Source organism: Homo sapiens, chromosome 8 (genome assembly GCF_000001405.40).
Source record: "Homo sapiens chromosome 8, GRCh38.p14 Primary Assembly".
NCBI lineage: Eukaryota > Metazoa > Chordata > Mammalia > Primates > Hominidae > Homo > Homo sapiens.
Genome location: NC_000008.11, coordinates 65155093 through 65180635, shown reverse-complemented (window position 1 = coordinate 65180635; position 25543 = coordinate 65155093). Strand labels below are relative to the sequence as shown.

Here is a 25543-nt window from a genome sequence, read left to right as displayed (position 1 = left end):
GGGGCCTGTTGGAGGGTGGAGGGTGGGAAGGGGAAGAGGAGCAGGAAAAATAACTAATGGATGCTAGGCTTAATATCTGGGTGACAAAATCATCTGTACAGCACACCCTCAAGTTTACCTGTATAACAAGTAACATGAGACACAAGTTTACCTATGTAATAAGCCTGCACATGTATCCCTGAATTTAAAATAAAAGTTAAAAAAAATAGGTTAGAGCTGATGACAGTTTCACTGAAGGCAAAACAATAAACAATATTTTCACAGCTTTAATTTAATAATACTTTTGTAATTATAGGATATGGGAGGCTCTGCAACAGCATATTCTACAAAGAAAAAGATAAATGAACAGAATTCACTCTAAGATTCACCATGGATGTTTACTAGTCAACTTGATGTCCCAAACCATCTGCCTATCTAACACAGCTGATCTTAAGTTCAGTAAGTTCCATTTGCTAATACATGGAACTGTATACCATACATCACGGAAATATTGCTATTGAAATGGGAAATTAAAAGCTTTGGTCAATTAAACTATCCATAAAATTACTGAATAATCGGTGGAAAGATAAGTTTTAATGATTCTCAAGCAAGAAAAAGGCAACTTGATGTGTAAGAAGAATTGTGGAATCTTTGGAACTTTTAGAGGCACTTTACTTCTTGTTTAGTATTTATTGCATACATGGGGCAAATGTATTCAACATTTTAGTCCAGTTTTTTTTCTTGACACAGGTAGCATTGAATGAAAGTAGGTACTTGTACTTTATTTAAATGCTCACAATAAAACAGACATCCTACTGGACAAATGAACTTTGTTTTCCATGCCCAACTTTCTCTCTAAACTAGCACCACAATAGGATACGATTTGGTTCATTCCTAGCACCAAAGGTAAGCTAAAGGGTGCTCAGATGTTTGAGGTATGATAAAAAGCCATTCTTTGGAAGTCTGACTTTTTGAACACATTTCTTCTTACCTGATAAACATGCTTACCTACAGGGGACTGCATGTGCTCTTTATACTTCTGTATTCCTCTCTGCTTTTGTCTTTCTTTTTTTTTTTTTTTTTTTTTTTTTTTTTGTAAATCTTTCCTCTGCTTCCCATCTCTCCATGTTCACAGTTACAGATGACAGTTTATTTTTACTGGTGATGCTGCTTCTAGTCAGAGCTAATAACAAACTTCACCAATTTTTATTAATTTTCTTTGCTTGTTACATCTTCTGTCACTCCCCATGATTTTTATGACTATTATTATTATTAAGTACCTGGTTAAATTTGACTATATACTGGTTATTATAGTTCAAAATTATTTGGAGGATTAGTATGAGGCATAGAATGTTTACGCCTTTCTCCAGAGAGAATGTAATGGGTTGAATGGGTTGAACTGTGTCCACCAAAATTTTAGACACTGAAATTCTAACCCCCAGTATCTCAGAATATGAGCTTACTTGGAAACAGGGTCATTGCAGATATAACTAAGATGAACACTTTGGGAGGCCGAGACAGGAGGATCACCTGAGGTCAGGAGTTCGAGACCAGGCTGGCCAACATGGTGAAACCTTGCCTCTACTAAAAATACAAAAATTAGCCAGGTGTGGTGGTGGGTACCTGTAATCCCAGCTACTCGGGAGGCTGAGGCAGGAGAATTGCTTGAACCTGGGAGGCGGATGTTGCAGTGAGCAGAGATCATGCCATTGCACTCCAGTCTGGGCAACAAGTGCAAAACTCTGTCTCAAAACAAAACAAAACAAAACCCGATGAGGTCATACAGGAGCAGTGTAAGCCCTTAATCCAATTTGACTGTTGCCCTTATAAAAAGGGGGAAATGTGGACCTACATACACACACAAAGGGAGAACATCATAAGAAGTTTGGAGTTGGCTGCCTTAATTAAGGGATGACCAGAAGTTAAGAGATAGGCCTGGAACAGATTTCTTCCTTGCATTCAGAGGGAGCATGGCTCTGCTGACAGCTTAATCTTGGGCTTCTAGCTTCTAGAACATAAGTTTCTGTTGTTTAAGCCACCCAGTATATGGTACTTTGCTATGGCAGCCCAAGGGAACTAATAGAGAGGGTATTCACTTGCTTCCACTTTGGGCAGGGATAAGGAAATCCATGCCTTTGGCCACAAGTACACTCTATGTCCAGAATTTGATACTGAACATTTAACCTCTCTTACTCTCCTTCAACAAGCTAATATACAGAGACAGTTACTGACTAACTAGTAAAAGACAATAGAATTCAAGGGCAAAGTAGTTCGATACTAGCCTAGGCAACACAGCAAGGCTCGATTGCTACAAAAAATTTAAAAAATTAACTGGGCGTGGTGCATGCCTGTACTCCCAGCTACTCGGGAGGCTGAGGTGGAAGGATCGTTTGAGCCCAGGAGTTAGAGGTCACAGTGAGCTATAATTGTGCCATTGCACTCCAGCCTGAGCAACAGAGCAAGACCCCTGTCTTAATAATGATAATAACAATAGTTATTATTATTATTCAGGGCAAAATAACACATATGGGAAGGCCCTGCAATTCAAGATTTAGCACTTTTCTTGTGTTGCATGTTCTGCCACATTTTACACATGTGTTTGCAATCTCAGAATATTAGCAACTGTCCTTTACCCTACACTACTCAGCCTGAGTAAAAATATGCTTTCACGGCCAGGCACAGTGGCTCGTGCCTGTAATCCCAGCACTTTGGGAGGCCAAGGCGGGCAGATCACGAGGTCAAGAAATCGAGACCATCCTGGCCAACATGGTGAAACCCCATCTCTACTAAAAATACAAAAATTAGCTGGGTGTGGTGGTACACGCCTGTAATCCCAGCTACTTGGGAGGCTGAGAAGGACAATTGCTTGAACCCAGGAGGTGGAGGATGCAGTGAGCCAAGATTGCACCACTGCACTCCGACTTGGCAACAGAGCGAGACTCTGTCTCAAAAAAAAAAAAAAAAAAAGCTTTCACAAGGATACATTTACAGTTTAATGACCCAAGCAGCCAAGTTTCCTAAAGAGAGGTCATCTGAAAGAAGGGATCAATATACTTTTTCCTGACAATTAAATATTTTAAAAAATAGCTTTTTCATTAGACAACTAAACCTAAATTTTTAGAGAGGCATTGGATGGGCTTAAAAGCAGATTAATAAAGGAAGCAAGTCCTTGACTATAATTGAAAACTTTTTTGATTGAAACTTATACTATTAACCAACTTAATATGCTTTTAGATTTTATCTAGGCTTCAGCAGAACATTTTTTCAAATTTTTCTGACTTTCCCTTGTCATCAGGCTAGTTTATAGGCTGCTTGTTTTCTGCTATGCATCTCCCCTATACCATCATGAATGTCTGTTTGCATGTCCTAGCCCCAGGCCCTGAACTATTATACAAACAAAAATAACGATGTCTCATATCTGTATAGTGCCTTCGAGTACACAGGGCACTTTAAACAGCAGAAGCTCCCCTAAACCAACTTTACTAACACACTCTACCAGATATGGCAACTTCTCATTTATTGCACGGCACAATGAGGACCCTCAGGCCACTTGTCAACAACCTGGTCACCTTTGTGTCCAACAATGGAGCGATTTCTGCAAAGTCATGTTTCTCCTCAAAGTTGCTTAAAGTCCTTGTTATTGTAATGGTGTAATTTAAATAAATGTTATGTAAGCCAGTAACATTGGAGTACAAAAAGAAAGAGAATTGTAGCTATAAAACCTAAAACCAATATTTTAGAAGAATCAGAAAAGGTGAACCACATAAAAAATTAATTTCAAATTGGTTGCAAGGCAGACATTATAAAAAGAATTGGGAAACAAATTAGGAAGAATTCACACATGTTGCTTTCCAAATGTCTACAAAACGTTATTTCACTTTAAAGGCACAAACTATGAATCATAAACAATACAATTTGTGTGTGTTTCCTCATCTTGCATCAGCAGAGCCATGCATGGCAGGCAGAGTAATGCTCCCCTCCACTTCCATGCCCCAATTTTTTTTTTTTTTTTGAGACAAAGTCATGCTGTTGCCCAGGCTAAAGTACAGTGACACAATCTTGGCTCACTGCAACCTCTACCTCCTGGGTTCAAGCAATTCTTGTACCTCAGCCTCCTGAGTAACTGGGATTACAGGCTCTTGCCACCATGCCGAGCTAATTTTCTGTATTTTTAGTAGAGACAGGGTTTCACCATGTTGGCCAGGCTGGTCTTGAACTCCTGACCTCAAATGATCCAACTGCCTTGGTCTCCCAAAGTGCTGGGCTTACAGTCATGAGCCATTGCCCCTGGCCCCAAAGATGTTTATGACCTTATCCTATAAACATATTACCTGCATGGCAAAAATGACCTTGCAGATGTGATTAAGCAAAAGATACTGAGATGGGGAGAAAATCCTGGATTATCCAAGTGGAAAATAACTGTACATTTATGTGTTTAAGATTAAAATGAAAAAATTGTAGTATGTATACATCCTTTAAAAAATCACTTTCTACTGAGCTGATTTTTTAATTATTTGACCAACTATGGCTTCATATGCTTCAAACAAGAGTTACTGCTCTCTCTAGGATCCTACTTTATCCACAGGAGTCCTGTGGAGTCCATTTCACAGCTGTAGTCAAGGTTTTACTTTTGTCTCTGTCTTTGGCTTTATGACTCAGATGGAGAAAATTATTTCACTTGTTAGTAATTTTTATTTATGAAAACTAGGTGCTTGGACTGGATGCTATATAAGGGACTTTTAAACTCTCAAGGTCTCTGATTTTAACATTTTCATCAAACAATCTGACTTATCTTCTCTCATCTGTTTAACTTGCCGCTGAAACCCTTAGGTGTATGTGTGGTTCAGCTCTGATTTAACTTAATATTAAAATTTCAGTGCTTCACAGCTATTGGATGCCCCTTAACCAAGGACTTAGGGCTCAAATATTTGAAGAACACTGGAGTCAGGAGACCAGGATTTCAGATCTGACTGACACTAACTAGGTGGGTGTCCTTTGACAAATCTTTTAGCTTTTCTGGGATTAGTTTTCTCATTATGAAGCTGTAGTCAATATTATCTTTCAGGTCCCTTTTAGCTCTACAATTCTATGATTCCATAATTCTGATTCTAAGAAAATCCAGTTCTAAGAAATGTATTTCTCTTCAAGGTGGGAAGAAAGCTATGATGGCTAGATAGGATAGCTATGCAGATTCTTGTATACGCCCATGAATATCTTCTCCAGAGAACTGGAAGTATCTAGGTCCTACTGTTTTTCATACAACTCTAAGGACTAAATTTAGATACAAATTAGTTTTTGTCAAGATAGTCTTGTCTCAGTCATGGATCTAGCTCTCCATTCCATAAGACACAGGGAGTTCCCAGTTGGTTATGGACATTGAACAGCATACCAGGGTGGGCTGCAATGTCTCACATATTAGGACGAATCAGACTTGAAAACAGAACAATTATAATATCACCCAGTAAGTGCTGTGACCGACTAAAAGCAGAATCCACACAAAGGAGGAAGTGATTAACTGCAACTGTAGTAATGGCAAAAGCTTTTGAGTGCTACTGCCCCATGAGATACATCCTGAAAGTTCTGAAGAGGAAGTTCAGGGTCAGGGAAGCATTTCAAGCAGAGAGCAGAGCCTGTTCGAAATGCCGAGTTGTAAAAGGCACAGCATGTTTGGGAAAAGGTGGGAATTTCATCATGTATAAACAGAAAGCAAGTGAGATAAAGGACTGGGAAAGTACATGGAAGAAAAAGTGAAGGCCATTTTATGCCAAACTAGAAGCAAGAAGAAATCCACCGAAGTTTCTACCTAGTGACAGGGCATGATAGGATGCTGTTTTTGAAGAGTTAGCTCTGACAGGTACTGGAAGGATGCAGACTGGGCTGGGTAGGCTTGGTGGAAGGAAAAGAGAAAGGAAACTTTGAGATATAATGAACACTAAACAAAAGCAGGGGTGTTTGGCAGCCATTTCAGAAAAAGAATCCATTGGCTTTTATAACTGAGTATCCTTTCTCAAAGCACCACGCTCTAACCCAGGAGGGGCTGCCACGGCACTGACTGTGTCTCCTCAGCTCATTCTCAAGAGCAATGAGGAATATTTTACAATACAGAACTCCCCATCATCACCAATGGTAGCACACAAAAAAATCACATTTTAAAAACACATTTAAACAGAATTTACAAGGATTCAACGGATTATGAAGTAGTTTCTTATCCCCCCTCGCAGCTATGAATACATTGCAAAATCTAGGACAGTTAAATACTGTATTTAAATTCAGATGTGATATATACATATGTTACTTATTCTTTTTATAAAGATCTGCCCTAGTGAAATTTAATTAGCCTTTGCAAGTTTATATACTGTGCATGTTGGAAGGGTGGTTTAAACCAAGTTGGTTGTTTTAACCTGACTAAATTCTCCAACCTCACCAGCAGAGAGGTGTGTCAGAATTAGATTTCACTAAAAATGATAAAAAATCTAAATAACAATGTCTATAAAAATAGAAGTTTATCTCCTGGGTAAAGAAATATAATCTGTAGCACAGAGCTGGGAGTTGGTAAAGCAGGTTCACAAAGTCCTCGCCATCAGGAACTGAGGCTCCTTCTACCTTATAGCTCTGCTGTCCACGCCGTGACTTCCATCTCATGATTTAAGATGGCGGGGAGAGCCCAAGACATCATTTCCTCAAATACCAGGGAAAAGAGGAAAGAATGCAGACAACTGCACCTCTTTAAGGGCTTCTTGGAATTCATATGTGACATTTCTGCTTGCATACAAGTAGAAGGAATATATTTACATGGCAGCAAGGGAGGCTAAAAAATAGACTCATTATTCTAGGTGGCATTACTTTAGCTAATAATGGGAGGGTCTATAACTAACAAAGAAGAGCTGAATGTCTATCAAAAGATAACTAAACTAGAAGTCTTTGCTAGGAGGAGGAACTAGACAAAGTATGGTAATGATAGTGGGGTCAAAATTAATTGCTGTAGTAATCTAAATGACTGGTCAGTGACCAGCTTCACAATTTAAAACCAATTCTCAGCAGCTCGGGTACAAACTGCCTAGGAGATAAATCAACTAGAAGTATGCGAATGGAATCGTCTGACTACTCTAGTTTCTTATGTAATGTGTGTGTGTGTGTGTGTGTATGTATGTGTGTGTATATATATATATATATATATGCACATACACATATGCATATATGCATACACATATATCATGTATATATTGCAAAAAAAATAAAATTAGAAAGGTAGGTGTGGGAGTTTAACTCCAAGATAGCTTCTCTCTTTATATATACAGAGGGGAAGCTCTGAAATTATTTGTGTTCTTTGGAGAAAATAGAGATAATAGGTGATATACATTCTTTGCATCAGGCAGCTAAATATTTTATATTATTGTATCACCCACACACCTTCACCTATACTGACCCCCAACTATGACCCTCTCCAGATCTCTTCTCCTTCCAGACTGATGCACATGGCACCCTGCCACCATCCCAGGGGTTCAGTGTCACACCCAGCTCTGCCCACTCCAAGGGGCACTCACTGCTCCAGCACCATTTTTCCCACTTCATGCTCTATTTACCCACAGGGGAAAACAAAAACTTATCTTAATAAACCAATGTACAGTTCTGGATTGAGAAGTACTCATGGTTGATTGGTCATGCCTCTCTCCCAAGTCACATGAGAGCTTATTTCCCCCAGAAATCTTTTAGTGACTCAAATGAGTGAATGGAGAGCCTAGTTAAGGGAGATGACTTTGGAATATCAGGGCCTCCTGGTGCTCTTTAAATAGTTTCACATGGAGATGACCTAGTAGGGACACTTACCATGCTTGAACATAGTCTTGGCACAAACTTGTATGCATTAACAACCTATATATTAGGTAGGCAACTATAAAAATTTTAAGTAGGGAAGAAAAAGAAAATATTAAAATGAAAATGGTAGGTATGGCAGTTTGTCATCAAGATAATTGCCACTGAGTCCTTCCCTCCTCATATGGGGCCCACCATTTTCCAATGGAGACGTGGAGTCTAGTCCTCCCCCTCCCTCTTGAATCCGAGATGGCCTTAGGGATTTGCTTAAGCAATGAGTATGAAGCTTTGCAGCTTCCACTTGGGTCTCTTGTAATGCTTGCTTTTGGAAGGCTCACCTGGGAGAAACCAGATGCTCTGTAGGAAATGCAACGGTCCTGCAAACACCATGCTATGGGAAGCCCAAGCCATGTGCAGAGGCCCTGGAGGAAGAGATTCATTGTGTCGAGCAAGAGACCACATGCATGAGGAAGCCATCTTAGAAATGGATCCTTCATCCCACCCATTTCAGGTGAGGCCATGTGGATCAAGATGATCCCTTCTCAAATTCCTAAGCTACAAAAAATGAAGGGTAAAATAAAATAGGTGTTAAGCTCCTAAGGTCTGGCATACATAGATAATAGAAAAGTAGTTTAGAATGAGAATGTAATATAGGAAATGTGGATGAAAGATAAGCAAGAGGTAAGATGGGGTTGAAGGATTCAAAATGATCTGTAAAACTGTGAAGTCATTAGTATAAAGCTGAATTCAGTGAATGAAAAGGCCGGGTGATAGGGAGCCAATCCATCAAGTAAAAGTGGAAAACATGTCAAAGGAAATAATATATTAACATAAAGACAGTCTCTTCCAAAAGGAAAATAATAATCTCAGCAATACAGAAAACTCAAATAGCATTGCAAATACCCCAGGAGAATTGTGTAAAGACCAAAGTAATGTTAACAGAAACTTGGGGAGGAAAATCTCATTGACATTAGCGTTCACATTTCATATGTAATAACTATTTATTGAGTATATATTTGGGCTAGAAGTTGGTAATATATTGATGGAGGAGACATAATTCTTGCCATCATGGAGCTCACAAATATGTTCTATCTAATTTTTGTCCTAGAATGATAACTCAATGACCTTTCCCATTATAAAGAAATATTGACACCTTTAGTTTGTACAGGAATAGCAATATCTCTGCATTGTCAACATGAAGCCATATCTTTAAGAAGAGAAGACAAATATATCAGGAAAATATAGAAAAGCCAAGTGTGGAAGCTAAAATCTGAAAAAATGAAAGGATGCTAACACAGGGTCATGCCTTCTGGGAGGTTTGTTATTGATTGATGAGAGGTTGCAACGCTGGATACAAAAGAAATTTTCTCATCCATATGGAGGGGAGCCTGCTACTGCTTTTTTGAAAAAGAGAAAAGAGGATTAAAGAAGAGGATTAAACAAGAAATAAACAAGAAAAAACAAGAAGTGCATCTTGCTTCATATATTCCTGAAAATTCCTATATAATTGGAATCTGTTTTTAAAGCCCAAGTATATTTGTCATCTAGAATATCATAGTAATCCTTATGGTATATTGTCAAGAAAGCAAAACTCCACAGACATACCTTCATTTTTAAAAACATTGATATAGATTTTCACATTCATAATTAATTTTGCTGAAAGTGGGGTCTCCCCATATTGCAATGCGATGAGGGGTACTAGAGTTTTTAAAACTTCAAGACTCATTCGCATCAGCAGCAAAGAATAAAAAGAGATACAATCACTGATGCTTCTACTCCTTTGACAGTTTTAGCCAGTTTTCTGAAGTAACCATCTGTTTTCTTTCCTCTAGATAAGTCTAACCTGCTTTATAAACTTTTTTCACTCTCACCTTCCCTCCTTTACCCCACCCATTGCCAATGTCCCTCTACCTGTGGCATTTCACACTTGGAGAGAGCTGCTAATGGTTGACAACAAAAGGACTGCTAATCGCACCAATTAAGAGGTGTGAATGTCACTTGTTACCTTCCAGCTTTGTTACTGAACATGTTAATTACTAATTGTACAGGTGCAGGCTTTTAAGTTCACAAGGTTAACACTGAAGCACAGCTTTGTTTGAGCTGTTTGTTTAAATATTGAAAAATCATGGGTAAAGGGTTGATCTACGCTGAAGAATGAACAGATGCCATTGCTGTACTTTCCCAGGCGGAAAATCTTTAGACTGACTTAGCAATATAATTGACCTTCAAGAAGTGATTCTCTGTGGTGAATCTACCAAAGAACAGGTGTTTGTGGTTCTCTTTACATGAAGAAGCAGGGCACTTCTCTTATGTCACAGGACTATGGAACTCTACTGGAAGGTCAGTTGAGGGTACTCTGCAAGAAGTGTGTACAGTTAATTAAAAGAAAATCCTCAGAGAGACTTTTTGTAAGCTCAAGGTTTCTATGTTCATCTCTTTCTGAAAGCTTTACTCATTCATGATTCAGTATTATAGATATGTCCTTTGGACTTCTTTTTTAAAAGTTTTGCCTAACAAAACACCTGGAGGAGGGAACCTGTTTCAGAATCACATAACCTCAGCTTGATAAGAATCTCAAGAGATCACACTGAGTGGCTTCCACTTAGAGAAGGTAACAAGACCACTTTACAGAGAAGACAACAAAGGTCCAAGATATTATACAACTCGCTCAAGGCCACTACATCAAGATTAAGTTGGATTTGCAAAGTGAGTTAGATTTTGGAAAAAGCTAACCTTCAATTGTTCTCCAGGGGAATGAGTAATTACTATGAGGAGCTGGTAATTTTTAGCTTGTCCTCAGGCCTACTGAAATATCTTTGCTCTTTCCCTGCATCTGTAAGAGCAACTGTTGTTTTCAGTCATTCAAGTAGAAAGTGTGCGGTAAGTGCCTCTTCTATTTTTGTGGTAGACTCCACAACAAATAAAGAAAGTCTCTCTGGGAAGCCCAAGGGTGGCTTCTTGGAACATAAACTGCAAGGTTTTGAGAGTTGCCATGCAATAGTAAAACCAGTTGATGGATTTGAGACCAGGAACCTGTGATCACCTTGCTCCTTGCTCATGATGTATCTCTCTTGTTATCTGCCTGACAGCAAGGGATAAAAGTGGAGGTGCTATAGTAGAATGCCTACGAGTATAGGCTGCTCTCTAAACATAGGGGGTGAATCTAACCCCCCTTTAACCCATGATTAAATGAACAAATGAGCTCCAAATTCTTAATATGTGCTTGGCACATTGTAAAGTCTCAAGAAATTACCGCTAAAGAACTTATCCATGTAACCAAACACCACCTATCCTCCAAAAACCTATTGAAATAAACAATAAAGATAAATTTGCATAAATAAGAATATATATATGTCAATAAATTCAAATTAACATGTATGATTGTCTTCCTATTAAGTTAGCAGATTAAATGGTGATGCACAAGTTCTTCAAGATTTCATATGGAAAAGGGCCCACAAATTCTGTGCTAATAGAGATATATTTGTAGCTTGGTTGTATTTAATCAAAAGTGTTAAACATATATTGTGGTAGACAGATTCTTCAGGTGGCCTCCACTGGAACACATCCCAGTGTTCATGCCCTCGTGTTATGCCCTCCACTGAAGTGTTACTAGACCTTTAGCTTATGTCTAGCCAATAGAATGAATGAGGCAAAAGAGACAGAATGTATGTGATTACATGATCGTGTTATATAAGGTTATAATACCCATCTTACTGGAGTATGTTTCTTCTTCTTTTGCTGGCTGTATACAAGCAAGCTGCCATGTTTGGGTTGCCTATGTTGGAAGGTCCACATGGCAAGTAACTTATAGACTACCTGTAGGAGCTGATATTTATTTATTATATGATATAAAGCAAAGATTTATTTTTGTTATTATTTTTACTGTACATGATTGGTAAGTTTCTAGGAACTCATTAAGATTAAGAAGCCTGAAGAACCTGAAGCAATGAATTGTGATTTGTAGAATTTTTAGCATCAGGAGAGGCAGATAAAACAAATATTCATTTAAGAAATGGGAGCTTAAGTTATTCCTTGTGGTAGCTGTCAGTGATATATACTTGCTCAGGCCCCTCAGGTATGCCATGAGCTTACTTTTCATCTGTGAATATAGCAGAGAGGTACTGTAATAAATCCCAGGGTGGTCCCTGTGAGGTTAATCTGACCAAGTGTAGGAGACCTTTCACTTGTCTCCTTCTTTCCTTGTGTGGTGGAATCTGCTAACTGTTCCATAAAATGCATTCTCCATCTCTTCCTCTTTAATAATAAACTGCTTCAGTTGTAGCAGGGCTCATAAACATGCATTTACAGTCTATACTTTCCAACCTCCTTTGTAACCAATTATGGCCATATGACTGAGATCAGGCTGATGGGATGTGATGAAAGTTATGTGTGCAATTTCTTCGTTAGGTCCTTAAAAAGACTATCTTTTGATTCTTTTTTCCTTTTCTTTTGTGCTGGAACATGCATGTGCAGGAGATTCAGCTTTGACTAGGAAGGCAAAGGCCACACTACAGGGCTGTGGTTCTCAAAGTGTGATGTCCAAACCATCAACATCAACGTCACAAGAGAACCTGTTAGAAATGCAAATTCATCGGTCCCATCCAAGACTTATAGAATCAGAAACTCCAGGTGGGCTCAGAAAGCCCTCCAGGTGATTATGATGCCCGAAAGCAGAGACTGGCAAACTGCAGCCAATGGACCAAAACCACTGGGTGGCTCGATTTTGTACAACAATGAGCTAAGAATGGGTTTTACATTTGCGAACAGTTGCAACAAAAAGTAACAAAGCCAAAGAAGAATATGTAATTGAGACTTATGTGGCTGGTAAAGACTAAAATTTCACCTTATGGCCTTTTACAGAAAGTTTGCCAACCTCCGCATTCAAGTTGAGAACTATTGCCATAAAGGCTTGCTCAGTAAAAGGAACTTAGATCCCTGAATAACTTAGTGGAGCAGAAGTGCTCTGTCAGTTTGGCCTGCTCACTCCAAAACTGCTAGAGAGAAAAATAAACTCCTAGGCCGTGTAAGCCTCCATACACGGGGCCTCTGTTACGGCAGCTGAGCCCAAATCCTGACCAATGTAAGAGGTTAAGAAGGAGCTGCTATACTACACGTTGATCTCTCTTCCCACACCTTATTGTCAGCTCATGGTCTGAAGTTTGCTTTTAGTTTCCATCATTACATGTCTCCTGATTACTCTCTTTAAAGGTACAGATATTGGATTCATCTAATAGTTCTCCATAATTTTGAGCCCTAGAGGCTTTAGAACACTTACTGGAACTTCATAAATTGAATCTATCCAGGTGACTACACTTATATGTTTTCAACCCAAATAATTTCTTTATTTTTTATTTTGAGACAGAATCTCACTTTGCCACCCAGGCTGGAGTGCAGTGGTGTGATCTCGGCTCACTGCAACCTCTGCCTGATGGGTTCAAGCAATTCTCCTGCCTCAGCCTCCTGAGTAGCTGAGATTACAGGTGTGGGCTACCATGCTCAGCTAATTTTTGTATTTTTTTTAGTAGAGACAGGGTTTCACCATGTTGGGCAGGCTGGTCTCGAACTCCTGACCTCAGGTGATCCACCCTCATCGGCCTTCCAAAGTGCTGGCATTACAGGCATAAGCCACCGTGCCCGGCCCAGTAATTTCTTACATACATTTGTTCAGTAATCTTGTACTTACATATCCTTATTCTGAAAGATTGAATCAGAATGGTTGGTTTGCTCAACCAGCGTTGAGCAAACACAGGCACAACCCCTGTTATTCTGGCTAATGCAAGCAGATTCACCCTCGTTTGTAAAGGTGCATTGTGTGACAACAGTTAATAATAGATAGGATTTGATGATGATGATGTCTGAAGCTGTTGGCTGTGGAATTTCTTTTTAGGAGAGTAGCTATAATTTAGGCCAGAAGCGAAAGACTATTGCAATTAGGGAGGTGATTAAAAGGTTTAAATTATCTTGTATGGCATGGGGTCTGTATTCCCAGCTATCTGTCCTCCCAGTATGATGTAAATCACCATGTCTAGATGAGGAGATGGTGCACTGTAGACTCAGTCTTGGGGAGCTTATGGGGAAGGAAAAGAAAGGGTGAATCTGAACTTCATTAGTTGGCAAATACAGTTCTTTTCTTGGTCTCCCCGGAAATTCATAAGCCAAACAGCAAGGAAGGTGGAAAAGGCCGGTTTCCAGCAGAAGCCACGTGTGCCAGGTAGGGCACATACATAAGCAAAGCTCAGGTTTGGGGCGGCAGTTCGGTGTGTGGGTCAGTGGGAAGGAGGGGACTGGTGTTGCAGGACGATGCAGTGGCTTTGCTGCACACCATAAGCGTAGTTGTGGGCCGCAGACTCTCTCCTGTCATTTTGTGTGCAGTAATGAAGCCTGACGAGAGGTCTCCTGCTTGCAGATAGCAGGCTGTTGTCCTAAAAATGCAAACCATTGCCTCGGGCCATGGAATCGGGAACAGGCAGAGGACAGAGGCTCCGGCTGGGCGCCCCACGGCTCGTCCTCCCTTCAGCACTCGCGAGTTGGATGTAGAAAGCTGGTCTTTACCCTTGTACATAAGGTCACAGAAGGAAGATTTTTTTTAAGGTGTCCCAGAGACCAACGGCTTTAATCTGGATTTTTTGCAGGGAAGATAGAGGATGAGGGATGCCTACCAGCAATCCTCAAGCCTCCTGTATTTTCTCATGCAAAATAAGCTTTAGAACTTGAAAGCCTCATGTTCGCCTCCTCCCCTAGTGTCTTCCCCCGCAACGCCCCCATCCTTTCTTTTCCTTCTCTCTGCAGAGTAGGCAAGTCTGTCCCAGCCACCTTTGGCAAGGCTTTTTTTGAAACAATGGCTCATTAATATTCGATGGGGCAGGTATGCCAGGAGATAGCAGGGGTTCACGACCCGGTTGGGGGGGGCGGTGCCTGGCACTGCAGACCTTTAGAAGTTGCCAGCCAGGAGGAAGCCCCTCTGCCCCAGCTCTGGACGGACGGGCACGCTGGGGCACTGCTTTCAGAGGCTGCTCTATATCCCAAGACCGGTAGAAACCAGGCCTGGTCTTTGGTAGCTCTGCCTGGGCCTGAGTTGGCTATGCAAAGGGAGTTGTCCCTTTTTACAGTATTTGTTTGTTTATTGTTTGTTTTTGTTTGTTGAAATGTTGCCTTCCTGCTTCCCAAGCAGCCTGCTGGTCCCAAGGCTGCAAAGATGTCCTTGACTCTTGAAGCAGGCAGTTTGTGAGTTCTAACCTTGTTCCCAACTCACTCTGAGGGACTTTATTACCCACCATCTACATTTCAGAAACCCTCCTTCTCCCTCATGTCAGTCTCCTTGGAGGCACACCTCTGAAGTGGGGAAAAAATGCGCTTTTCCTTGTGTTTTCAGGCATCTATTATTTCTATGGAATTCTTGACAGACAACAAAGAATTAAAATAAAAAAAAACCTGTCAATTTTCTGCTGTCAAGGAAACAAGCTGTTCTCCCCATTTAAGGCTCCCTTGGTAAGCCTGGTGAAAACTTTATTAAGAATTGATGAATACATTCAGTCTCTCAGAAAAGTCACCTGGAGTCATTTCTAGAACAACATGCTGCGGGGAGAGCTTTCTGAATCCGTGATTGTGAGTGCCGGCTCTAGTGAGTGACCCTGGTTTTCTGGAAGACCAGGCTAGGGGGGCTGACCAAAGCCGCGCCTCCAAGCGAAGATGCCATTGTGCCTCTCCAGAATGAGGACGACACAGACACCCACAGGGGTGAAAAGGCAGGATACCTTTCCTCGTCCATTTCAAGGTCCATGGCTGCTATCTCTGTAACAAAAAAAGACAGACTAAAAAGGGAAAAGCATAACAAATTTGTTTAATCAAAGTTTTATGTGACACAAGAGACTTTAGACATGAAGACCCAAGGCCTAGAAAAAAACTGTATTTTTATGCTTAGGTTTCATGAAGGATGGACAACCATGTAGAAATGTGATTGGACAAAAAAGGGTATTACCTGATGGTAACACATTGGAGGGAACTTAGCGAGGCCTGTGTGTTCCGATTCTTCTTGGCCTTCCTGTGTGGCATTCCTCCACCCTTCCACCCCTTACCCTAAGGTATGGGGCAAGACCCTTTTGGAATGAGGGTCTTATGGCCTGCTTCCATGGGAGCTAGGTTAGAGTGACCTCTGTAGGTTTTACAGTTTGCTTTGGGGGAGAGAAGTTCTAGTTTGTATGATCTGCTTTGGGGGGAAAATGGGAGAAGGAGAAAGGAGGGCAAGAGAAGGTCAGAGAGAATTTCTTGCTTCTGAGGCCCTGCTGATCCCCTTGTAGAGTACTCAGCAGACTGAAGAGCCATATTTTGGGATGTCGTTCTAAGCCCCAAAACCTTACAACTGTGTGGCATTTTATAGTTCATAAGCCCTTCTGCACAAACCACCACAAGTGGTTCCCCAAAAACCCTGACAGTAGCTTGGGCACGCAGAGCACAGGGGGGGCACAAGAAGATAAGGTGGGAGGCAGCCAATCTGCTGCCCTGCTAAGGTTTCAAGTAGGACTGAGCCTGTACCCGCCTCTCTCTGAACTTCTGTATCTTGCTTTTGCACATTTCTCTCTTGATTCATATTACTCATTTGCTAATCATTTTTTAAAAAATTCCACTTTCTGGTGAAATTCAGCAGGAAATTCAAGCTTTTCTCCCGGCTGTGCTCATATCCTCACTGACTGTCTCTCTTCTTCTTGGTTAAGAGCCAATCTATCCACTAACCACTCTGATTTCAATACAACTTAATAAAACTGAACTGTCACCACTTTGGCAGTACACTGGTTTTCAGAGTACTGGTTTCAGATTTAAACCTTGTTCTCTTAATTGAACCTCACAGCAATCCTGTGAGGTAGGGATTCTCAACCTCATTCTCAGGTAAGGCAACTTTACTCAGGCAAGCTGGAACTTTACTTTCTTCTTGGTAGTCCTGCTTCTTCACCATTCCCAGGCATTTGGCTGGCAACTGAGGCTTGTTTACAGATGCACAAGGCCTATTTTCTGTTTTTATGAAGCCTGTAAACCCACAGATAAGCTATGATATGTACATAAAAAATATAATTAAAGGTAGAATTGCATTCCTATGAAAAGAATATGAGCAAATCATTGTATTATTTCAGAGAAGAGAGATTATTTTTGGTGGAAGAAATATGTTTGAGTGGTCGACCAAAGATGGCCTCTGGCATCACAGGTATCTGGGCTGAATCAGCCTCACTATCTGCTGGCTACTGACTTGGGACAAGTTATTTAACTTCCTTGAGATTTAGATTCCTCATCTGTAAACAGGTTTTTTATACATACTGCATTTCCACTGGGATTAAATGAGATAATGTGTGTAGCTTACTGAGGCTAACACAGAGTGAGGACTCAATGGTAGCAATTATTGGAAGACTCTCCATGCATAGGACTTTGACAGCTAGAGATAGGACAGATGACATTCTGACAAGGGAAGACCCTACTATTTATGCTTCATATTCTAAAAATGCATTGTGATAAAATTTCTCTTGCAAAGCAGGTCATTACCAAGATAGTTAATTTGACTTTGTAAAATTCACCTGGTAGGGGAGGATATTGGCCTCAAAATTAAACTAATGCCTCAAACAGGGAAAAATGTCTCCTCTTTGTTGTTTGGACAAATGTATTAAGCTGATGACATCCATGGGTTAAGATCCTTAACCAAGATAGTTAATTTCCCCTACCAGGTGCATTTTACAAAGCACTATCACTTTTTCATTTAAGTCTATGGAAGGTTGTTATTATCTTCTCTGAATAGGAGAGAAAATAGGAGCCCTGAGAGATGAAAGAACTTGCTCTTGATTATACTCTTAGTAGCCATTCTACATTCATTTTTCTCATTCCTGCTCAAGACTTCTTTCCTTAAACCCATTTTGTGTCACTTATGTTTGTCTAGTACTAACAGTGTACTAAGCATTGCTCCAAACACTTTATAAATGTTAAGATATTTAATCTTTACTGCATCTCCTTGAAGTAGGTACAATCATTATCCTACAAGTGAGGGAACTGAGGCACAGAGAAGGTAAGGAACTTGCACAGGTTTTCATAGCAGTGAGAGGCAGAGCTGGATTCCACCCCAGCTAGGCTGCCTCTGGAGTCTGCCTGCGGGACGACTGATGGACTCTTCCCGTGAAATTGTGTGTCTCTCGGGGTATGCTCTGTGTTCTACAGTTTCCCTTATATGATGCCTTCTGCCTTGTTCCAAGCAGAGTAAGAACCAGCCTGAGGCAGATAGGGAGTCAATAGGTGCTTTCAACACTGGGAAGCTCCCCTTGGCAAGGAGAGGGCAACTCACTGCTACACTGTAGCATATTCCCAGGCTCCCTCTGATCAGGAGTGATGTGGCTGAGAGGCTGCAGGAGTTAAGGTGCTGGGGCAGGTAGGGTGGGGAGAACGTGAGATTTGCAATAAGCAGACCGGGGTGAAGACCATGTAGGGATGGGCACTTGCTCCTTTGGAACCTACAGCAAATCACTGCAAGTTTTTGGTTTTAGTTACAACAGCTGAAAAAACAATAGGGGCAATATCAACATTTTTTTCACCTGCCTCGCACATTGTTCTGAGAATAAAATAAAGCAATGAGCAAGTATGCAATTTGGAGACTTTAAAGGATATACAAATATGAGTCACCCAAAGGACTCAAACTATTTTTAATGTGAAATAAAATCCTGATTTGCCTAATTGGCTAGAGTGACTAGCGGGAATAATTTGTTTCTATAACTGAACCCAGACGAGATCTCTATAGACCAACTTTCTTTTAACCCACATTAGCTTTTTAATCCATTGAGTTATCTGCACCAACAACACCTGAGTAGTGAGTTTTAATGACTATATCACAACCCTAGACTTAGGAGAGGATCTTAACCCATGGATGTCATCAGCTTCATACATTTGTCCAAGCAACAAAGGAAATGTTTTTCTCTGTTTGTGGCATTAGTTTAATTTTGAGGTCAATATCCTTCCCTATCAGGTTAAGGTATAGAATGAGGTCACATTGATTTCGATGTTCAAATTATGATAACTGCATTTTCATCCAATTTCTTCCTTCCCTGTAGTGTTCCATGGAAAGCCCAAGGCTCTCAGGAACTGAAGCCCAAAGTGCTTAGTCATCCAAGATATATATTACCTTACAGAGGAAGAAACTGGAACATTTGTTCACACTGCAGAAGAGCCCCTTTCTCTGCTGCCGTTGCTGCCATCAACAGTAAACACTAGAAGTTTAGGAGCTGAAACCCCATTGATTGGCAGACTGCTCTGTCAAGACTGTGGAATCAATGGTAGTTTCTCAACATGTGCTTTGGAGAAGAAGGGAAGACAACTTATCTGAGGTTCTCTATATTCCAGGAGGCCTGAACCTCTGGGATTGGATCCCCAGGTGAGCAGCTGACTCAGTTCTCACACCTGCTGCCCTGCCCTCATTCTGGAGTGACTGTCAGAAGGGGATTGAGCCTCAGCCACCTGGCCTAGGGCTAGTCCTCCTCTCCAACAACCCAGATCCTGGAGTTGTGTGCCTAGTTTTGGACTCTCCTTTCCATCAAATGACTTTCCCTCTAGAAAGTCCTTTCGTCTCTCCTGCAGGCAGCATCTGTTGGATTCACCCTAGTCCAGGATTAATCTATGGCCAGAGGGCCACATCCGGACCACTACCTGTTTTGGTAAATAAAATTTTATCAGAACGTAGCCATGCTCATTGCTTTACATATTGTCTGTGACTGCTTTCTCACAGCAGAGTTGAGTACCTTGTGGCCCACAAAGCCTTAAACATTTATATTTGTATGTTAATAGATGTCTGTGCCCTTAAAAATGCTATGGCGATATTGCTTATCAAAGTTAAATGTTCTTGTTTCTCTTGTTCCTGTTTCTCTTCCTCCTAAAAGATTCCGTAGTCAAATAAATGGATAGATGTAAATGAATGCAGGTGGGAGGGGTGGCTCTGATCACCAAAAGCAGCCATGCTCCGGGTTCTTGTCAAACCAACAGCAAAGATTCTTTTATACTATTTTCCTAGAGCAATGATTTATTTTTCCCTCTAGAGCAAAGATGAGCTCTAAGTTGGCCTGATGTCTTCACTCCCAGAAATATAAATAGGTAGCAAGTTTTAAATAGAAAACAGTTCTGACTCACCAGTATCCCAAAACACACTACCAAGGATAGAAAGCTCTATAATAGGGCACACCCAATCGTAAGGCCTCTTATAATAAATAATAGTACTAGTAGCGACTTCAGGTGACTTTTGGACTCTCAAAAGATTAAGAGACATGAAATCAATCCTTCTTGAATGATTCTGTGGACACTAATCATTATATTGAAGACCATTTGTGAGATAAGGCTAGGTTTTAAATAGTGTTAGATTCGTGTTGACCTAACTGATTGAAAATGAGAATATTCACAATATAGCTTGGCTTTTCCTCTCTCCCTTCGAGAGCCTTGTTGTACAACAGCCTGAGCTAAACATGCTGTGTCAATCTCATTTTTTTACATTTCCCGGGTGTTTTCTTCTTAGATCATGCAACAACCCTGTCATTATTTTAAATATTTTTGCCTGTAAATTGCAGAATACTTGATCTGATTTTAATAGGGCCCATGTGTGAAATCCTTTATTTTTTTTTAATCTATCGTTCTGATTCTTTCTGCTCTTTAGTACAGCACAGCTTGGTAGCACTAGGTACGTCTTGTTGAAAGTATGTCCATAAATATGTCCCTTGCAGCATGGAACAGCTTGTTAAATTGGCAGTCCTCAGCAGTTTGCCTAGAAAAGTTTGCCTCACTTGCGATAGTCCAAATGTAGGGCAGAACACAGCGTAACTTTTTATCTAATTTTACCAATTGACATATTCTTCAAATTTTTAACTACCTCGTGCCTTTTCCTTACAGTGCTATCACTTGACTTTAAAGTGGCTAAATGTTCTTACAATGGTTCAATGTGGGCAGGAAAATTACCCTTTATTACTGGATATTAATTTGGGGGCAAATACTGTAACTTAAAATAGGATGCTAAAGCCACTGTGGGAGAAGTGTTTGGATAGGACTGAGGCCACCAATTTCTATTCCCTAGGGGGATTGGTGCTGTTCTCCATCATGGCAAGGGTGGGGCTCACCAATTTTAGTCTTTTAAATTTTACTGATATACTCTATTGGTATACCCTCCTTAGTGGCACCCCATTAGGGATATTGATATACTTTGATATTTTACTGATGTATCGATATGCTCTGATTTTCATCTCTCCAGTTAGGACACTGTTAGAACTAGGGATGACAAGTATAGAAATTCCAAAATTCAGTGTCCCAAGGATGAGCCTTCAATGCCACAGCCCTTTGCCCTTACTTCTTTGGGAGGAGGCTGGGTTCTCTCTCTTCTTATGTTCGTACCACATAGGCAGGCAGCACCACCTTGGTCTCCATGCCTCAGGACACCAGAAAATCCTCCCTTGTCAGCATGTCATCATACTTGTTCAAAATTTGTCAAGCTTTGTTCTCAGGGAAGGCAACACAACAAAATAAGACATAACAAAACCCATATCAGAATATGGCGTCTGTGCAGGGACTTGGGGATCTGGGCAGAGGACAACATAATGACTGTGTGCTCGGAGTCCCTATCTTGGTGGCCATGCTTCTAGGTGCTTTGGGGGTAAGTGACCTGAGGAGAAGGCATTTTCCATGCTTAGCTCCTGGTTGCAGATTTTACCACACAGTAGGGTATTCACCTGTCTCTGAAGAATCTATTAGAAAATTCTATTTCCGGAGCAGTTTTTGAAGAAATCCTTCTCAGAAATGTTGAAGTACAAGATGGACCTTGCAGAGACGTTGCCAGAATTTTCTGTCTCCTTCTCAGATGTGCTTTCCTGGCTGTAGGTGGGTAAGGACCACTGCATTTGGATCATTTTAATTTTACTGGAATTAAGTATGTGAGACATATCACAACCTCTTATTTTTAAGGTGGGATAAGGGGAGTTTATATGCCACAACTCTGTCTCAAGATTAAGAGACAGAATCTGAAGTTTCTGTCACAGTATTACTCGAAAGTTGGGGATTGAGCCTCACTTACTTCAGAAACATCTTGGATAGTTGTTATAAATGCACATTTGTGAGGTCTACTTTGAACTCACTGAATTAGAGTCATTAAGGTACAATCTAGGTCAGGGGGTCCAATCTTTTGTCTTCCCTGGGCTACATTGGAAGAAGAACAATTGTCTTGGGCCACACATAAAATACACTAACACTAATGATAGCTGATGAGCTAAAAAAAAAAAAAAATTGCAGAAAAATCTCATGAAGAAAATTTACGTATTTGGGTTGGGCTGCATTCAAAGTTGTCCTGGGCCGCAGGCGGCCCATGGGCTGCGGTTCAGACAAGCTTGATCTGGGTGGTTCCAATACACAGGAAAAAACTGAGACCACCACATTAAATGTACTCTTTTAAATACATTTTTTTTTGAATGAACACAAATAATCCAAGGGAATAAAATGAAATTATTCAATCAAATTAAGTACATTCTTTTATTATTAAATGTCCTTCAGGCTTTATGTCGATTTAACCATGTTAAAACTGTGACCAGAGACATTCTAAACTGTGGAACTGTGGCTGATACTTGAAAGAAAAAAATCTCTTGTCTGGCATCTTGAAGAATATTTTCTTATACTCTTGGAGGGGTCTATAAAACACATTTAAAATAGTTATCCTGGATTATTTTATCTTTTTTAATGAAAAAATTAATTGTTGCCAAAAGCTATTTGCTGGAATTGTGTAAAAATGTTTACAGATGCCTTAGGAAGAAAACAGCAGAATGTGGAACTAATTGTGTTGATTCAAGATAATTATGAAATACAAATGACCATTACTTACAACAAGTCCCCAGACACTTAGGGTTTGACTCCGGGGATCGGGCTCAAACAAAGAAAAAAAAAACTAATATATTTGTGTGATAATATTCAAACTAACAAATGCTCTTTCTCTAAGTTAATAAAGATCTTTGGTGACATTTCAATATCCAAATTATATAAGCTATAATATAACTTATATAGCTTTTTATAACTAAGAATTTTTTTTTCTAATTTCAAAGGAGCATATTGTTTTTTAAAAAATCTTGAATTCATATCACTTTAACTCCTGGACATGAGAGGTGAATGAGTGTTCCATTTTCTGCATTTCCAGGTTCTCTTTTAAGCAAAAAGTGACATAGGTAGGTATGAATTATTTTCATTTCTTTTCCATCCTAGATTGTTAGTGATATTTCACACCACAGTTAGAAGCAGAAGCCCAGAAGAGACTTCTGGATGCTACAAGTTGTGTTGGCACAACAGACCCAAACGACCCCAGTGTAATTCAGATCTTTGTAGGGTTATCTGCGGGCTGTCTCCAGCATGCATGGACCTCTCAGTCTGTTGTGATTCGGTCATGCTCTATTTAGACCAAAATGTAGAATTGAAAACATAGAAAAGGCCAGAAGCTTCTAGTGGGAATCACCACTAACAAAAAATGCTAGAGGACTGAACATGATTTTAACTTTCTGTTGAACAGCCATATGAAGAAGAGAGTGTCTTCCACCTTTATAGGAAAATAGCTTTCACTTTTACATTACTAACTGAGAGAGAAGCTGTAAGTCAACATATAAACCCCCAGACCAACACTGTCTAGTAGAAATAGAAGGTGAGTCACAGACATAATTTTAAATATTCTACCAGCTACTTTTTAAAAAAGTAAAAAGAAAATATTAAGATGAAAATAACTTAATATATTTTATTTTACTTAATATTTACAAAATATCATTTGAACATGTAACCAATATAAAAATGATTAACAAGATGTTTAGTATCCTTTTTTATCATATTAGATCTTCACATCTCAATTTGAATTGGCCACATTTCAGGTGCAATGTAGCCACATGTGGCTGCCATATTAGACAACATAACCCTGGACTATCAATCTTTCATCAGCATGTGAGTTCTCTAAGAGGGGATCTTCTGAAGGATGAATTTTTTCAAAGGCAGTTGACTGTTGTCATTTCTGTTGTGATTTTGGGGCTTGGCGCTGCCAGTCTGGCAGGTGGTGAGTGTCTAGAAGCAGAAGTGAGCATGGGGAAGCATACTTTCCACTGATGTTTATGAAGGGTGCCCTTGGGTTTGCCCAGACTGCAGAGGTTGAACCCTTCCAGAGTGGTTATTACTTGTCCAGTTGCTGCATTTACCAAGTGGAGCTGTCAGACACTGAAGTTTGCCTTGTTCTAGGCTCTGCTGTACTTTTGGACCACTGGATGGGACTTTAAGATGTCTTTACAGGATGTTCATCCCTCTTTGCTTGTGGCTGTCGCACTTCAGCTTGCCATTTAGCAGCTGCTTATGCCTCCTCGGTCAAAGATGCTGAGCCATTCTAGTCCCATTCCCAGCTCTCAGTGTTGATTGGTAAAGAGAGAGACGTCTCAAGGAGCAAGATGTGACATGACAAATTCTTAAGTTTCACAGGCAGAGAGTGTAGGTTGAACCACACAGCTCAGTTTTCAGTTTTTCACCTCAATCTGGAATATGCCAAATCAATATTATCTTATTGTCCTAGAAACTTATCTGTTTTCTTGGACATTTTAATTTTATTTCTGAATTTCAAGTGCAAAAATTTGTTAACCATGCTTCCTAGTTTATGGAACCATATCATTGGTCTGCACAGACTTCTTTCTTGACCAACTGGCTAGCTCATTTATATGTCATCTATCATCTATCTGTCTATCTATCTATCTATGTATCTATCTATCATCTATCTATCTATCTATCTATCTATCTATCTATCTATCTATCTATCTATCTCCATCATCTATCATTTCTTCCATCCATCCATCTTTCTACCTATCTCATTTGATCCTTGTTTCTCAATTTCTCACTACCATTTCCATTGTTCCTCCCACCATCATCATTTTAATCTCTTTGATGATATCCTTCTGTTTTCATGTGTTCTTGTAAAACATTTGATCATGTATTTTAACTTACACAATTATCATTATGCTGGATAGCTCATTCTATTTTTTGGCAGTTTTATAGCTTTGTTTGATGATCAGTAGCTAGTTCTCATTCACATTGACTTTCTGTACATTTTGAAAGTGGTAACAGTTATGTAGGTAACCAAAGTGCAGAGCTTATTTAGTGAATCTTCATCCTCATTAAGTTTTCTGGACAACCCAACGTGGATATGGTATGGGACATTCCTTATTCCTTTGGCCCAGGCAGCTTTGTTGAGCCTGGTATCAATGCACACATCTGGAGTTCCCCGTCTCTTTCATGGAAAATTTCCAGATCTCTTTGAGTGCCTAAGGGGCATACTTCTTGAAGTCCACTTCCTGTATGTACTTGTGAATGTTGGTGGTGTATTATTGGATCACCACCTCTTTGATGGCGGAACGGCCCTTCTCACCACGTTTCTTTGTGGGAGCCATTCTGCTTGGCCCATTTTGGAAAAGAAAGCTCTATTTTCTTTTATCATTCTGACCTATTGTTTCTAAGAGCTATCCATGTAGCAGTATGAACATCCAGTCCTTTGTTTCCAGTTGCTGAAGGATACTTTATAGTGGCATCTACCATGTTTTACCTATTCACAAGTGACAGACAACATGATCACCTCCCACTTCCCAGCAACACAAACACTGATAAATGTTATGGAGCATGTCTCCCAGTGTGTGAGAATATGTTTGAGAATCATATCCAGGAACAGGATTACTGTGGCATAGGGAATATGACATAGTACTTAGTT

General features: G+C 40.1%; 1 long non-coding RNA gene and 1 pseudogene across 1 annotated transcript, besides 2 other annotated features; one reads left to right on the top strand and one right to left on the bottom strand.

Annotated features, from left to right (window-relative positions):
• The first annotated feature begins 295 nt into the window (after positions 1-295).
• On the top strand, positions 296-19491 carry LINC00251 (long intergenic non-protein coding RNA 251). Its single transcript, NR_038901.1, has 4 exons — positions 296-438; positions 4857-4963; positions 8124-8302; positions 18867-19491. It is a non-coding gene; the product is annotated as a long intergenic non-protein coding RNA 251 (long non-coding RNA).
• Positions 7573-8772: an enhancer, noted in NCBI's record as "CDK7 strongly-dependent group 2 enhancer chr8:66084099-66085298 (GRCh37/hg19 assembly coordinates)". NCBI's record gives its function as "activates an origin of replication core promoter dependent on BRD2, BRD4, P300/CBP, MED14 and CDK7 cofactors, with strong dependence on CDK7, by STARR-seq in HCT116 cells {active_cell/tissue: HCT116}" and the evidence as "EXISTENCE:reporter gene assay evidence [ECO:0000049][PMID:35650434]".
• Positions 9485-10010: an enhancer, noted in NCBI's record as "NANOG hESC enhancer chr8:66082861-66083386 (GRCh37/hg19 assembly coordinates)". NCBI's record gives its function as "activates a minimal SCP1, AML or CMV promoter by ChIP-STARR-seq in naive and primed H9 embryonic stem cells {active_cell/tissue: H9 hESC(naive and primed)}" and the evidence as "EXISTENCE:reporter gene assay evidence [ECO:0000049][PMID:30033119]".
• Positions 24858-25229, bottom strand: RPL31P41 (ribosomal protein L31 pseudogene 41; annotated as a pseudogene).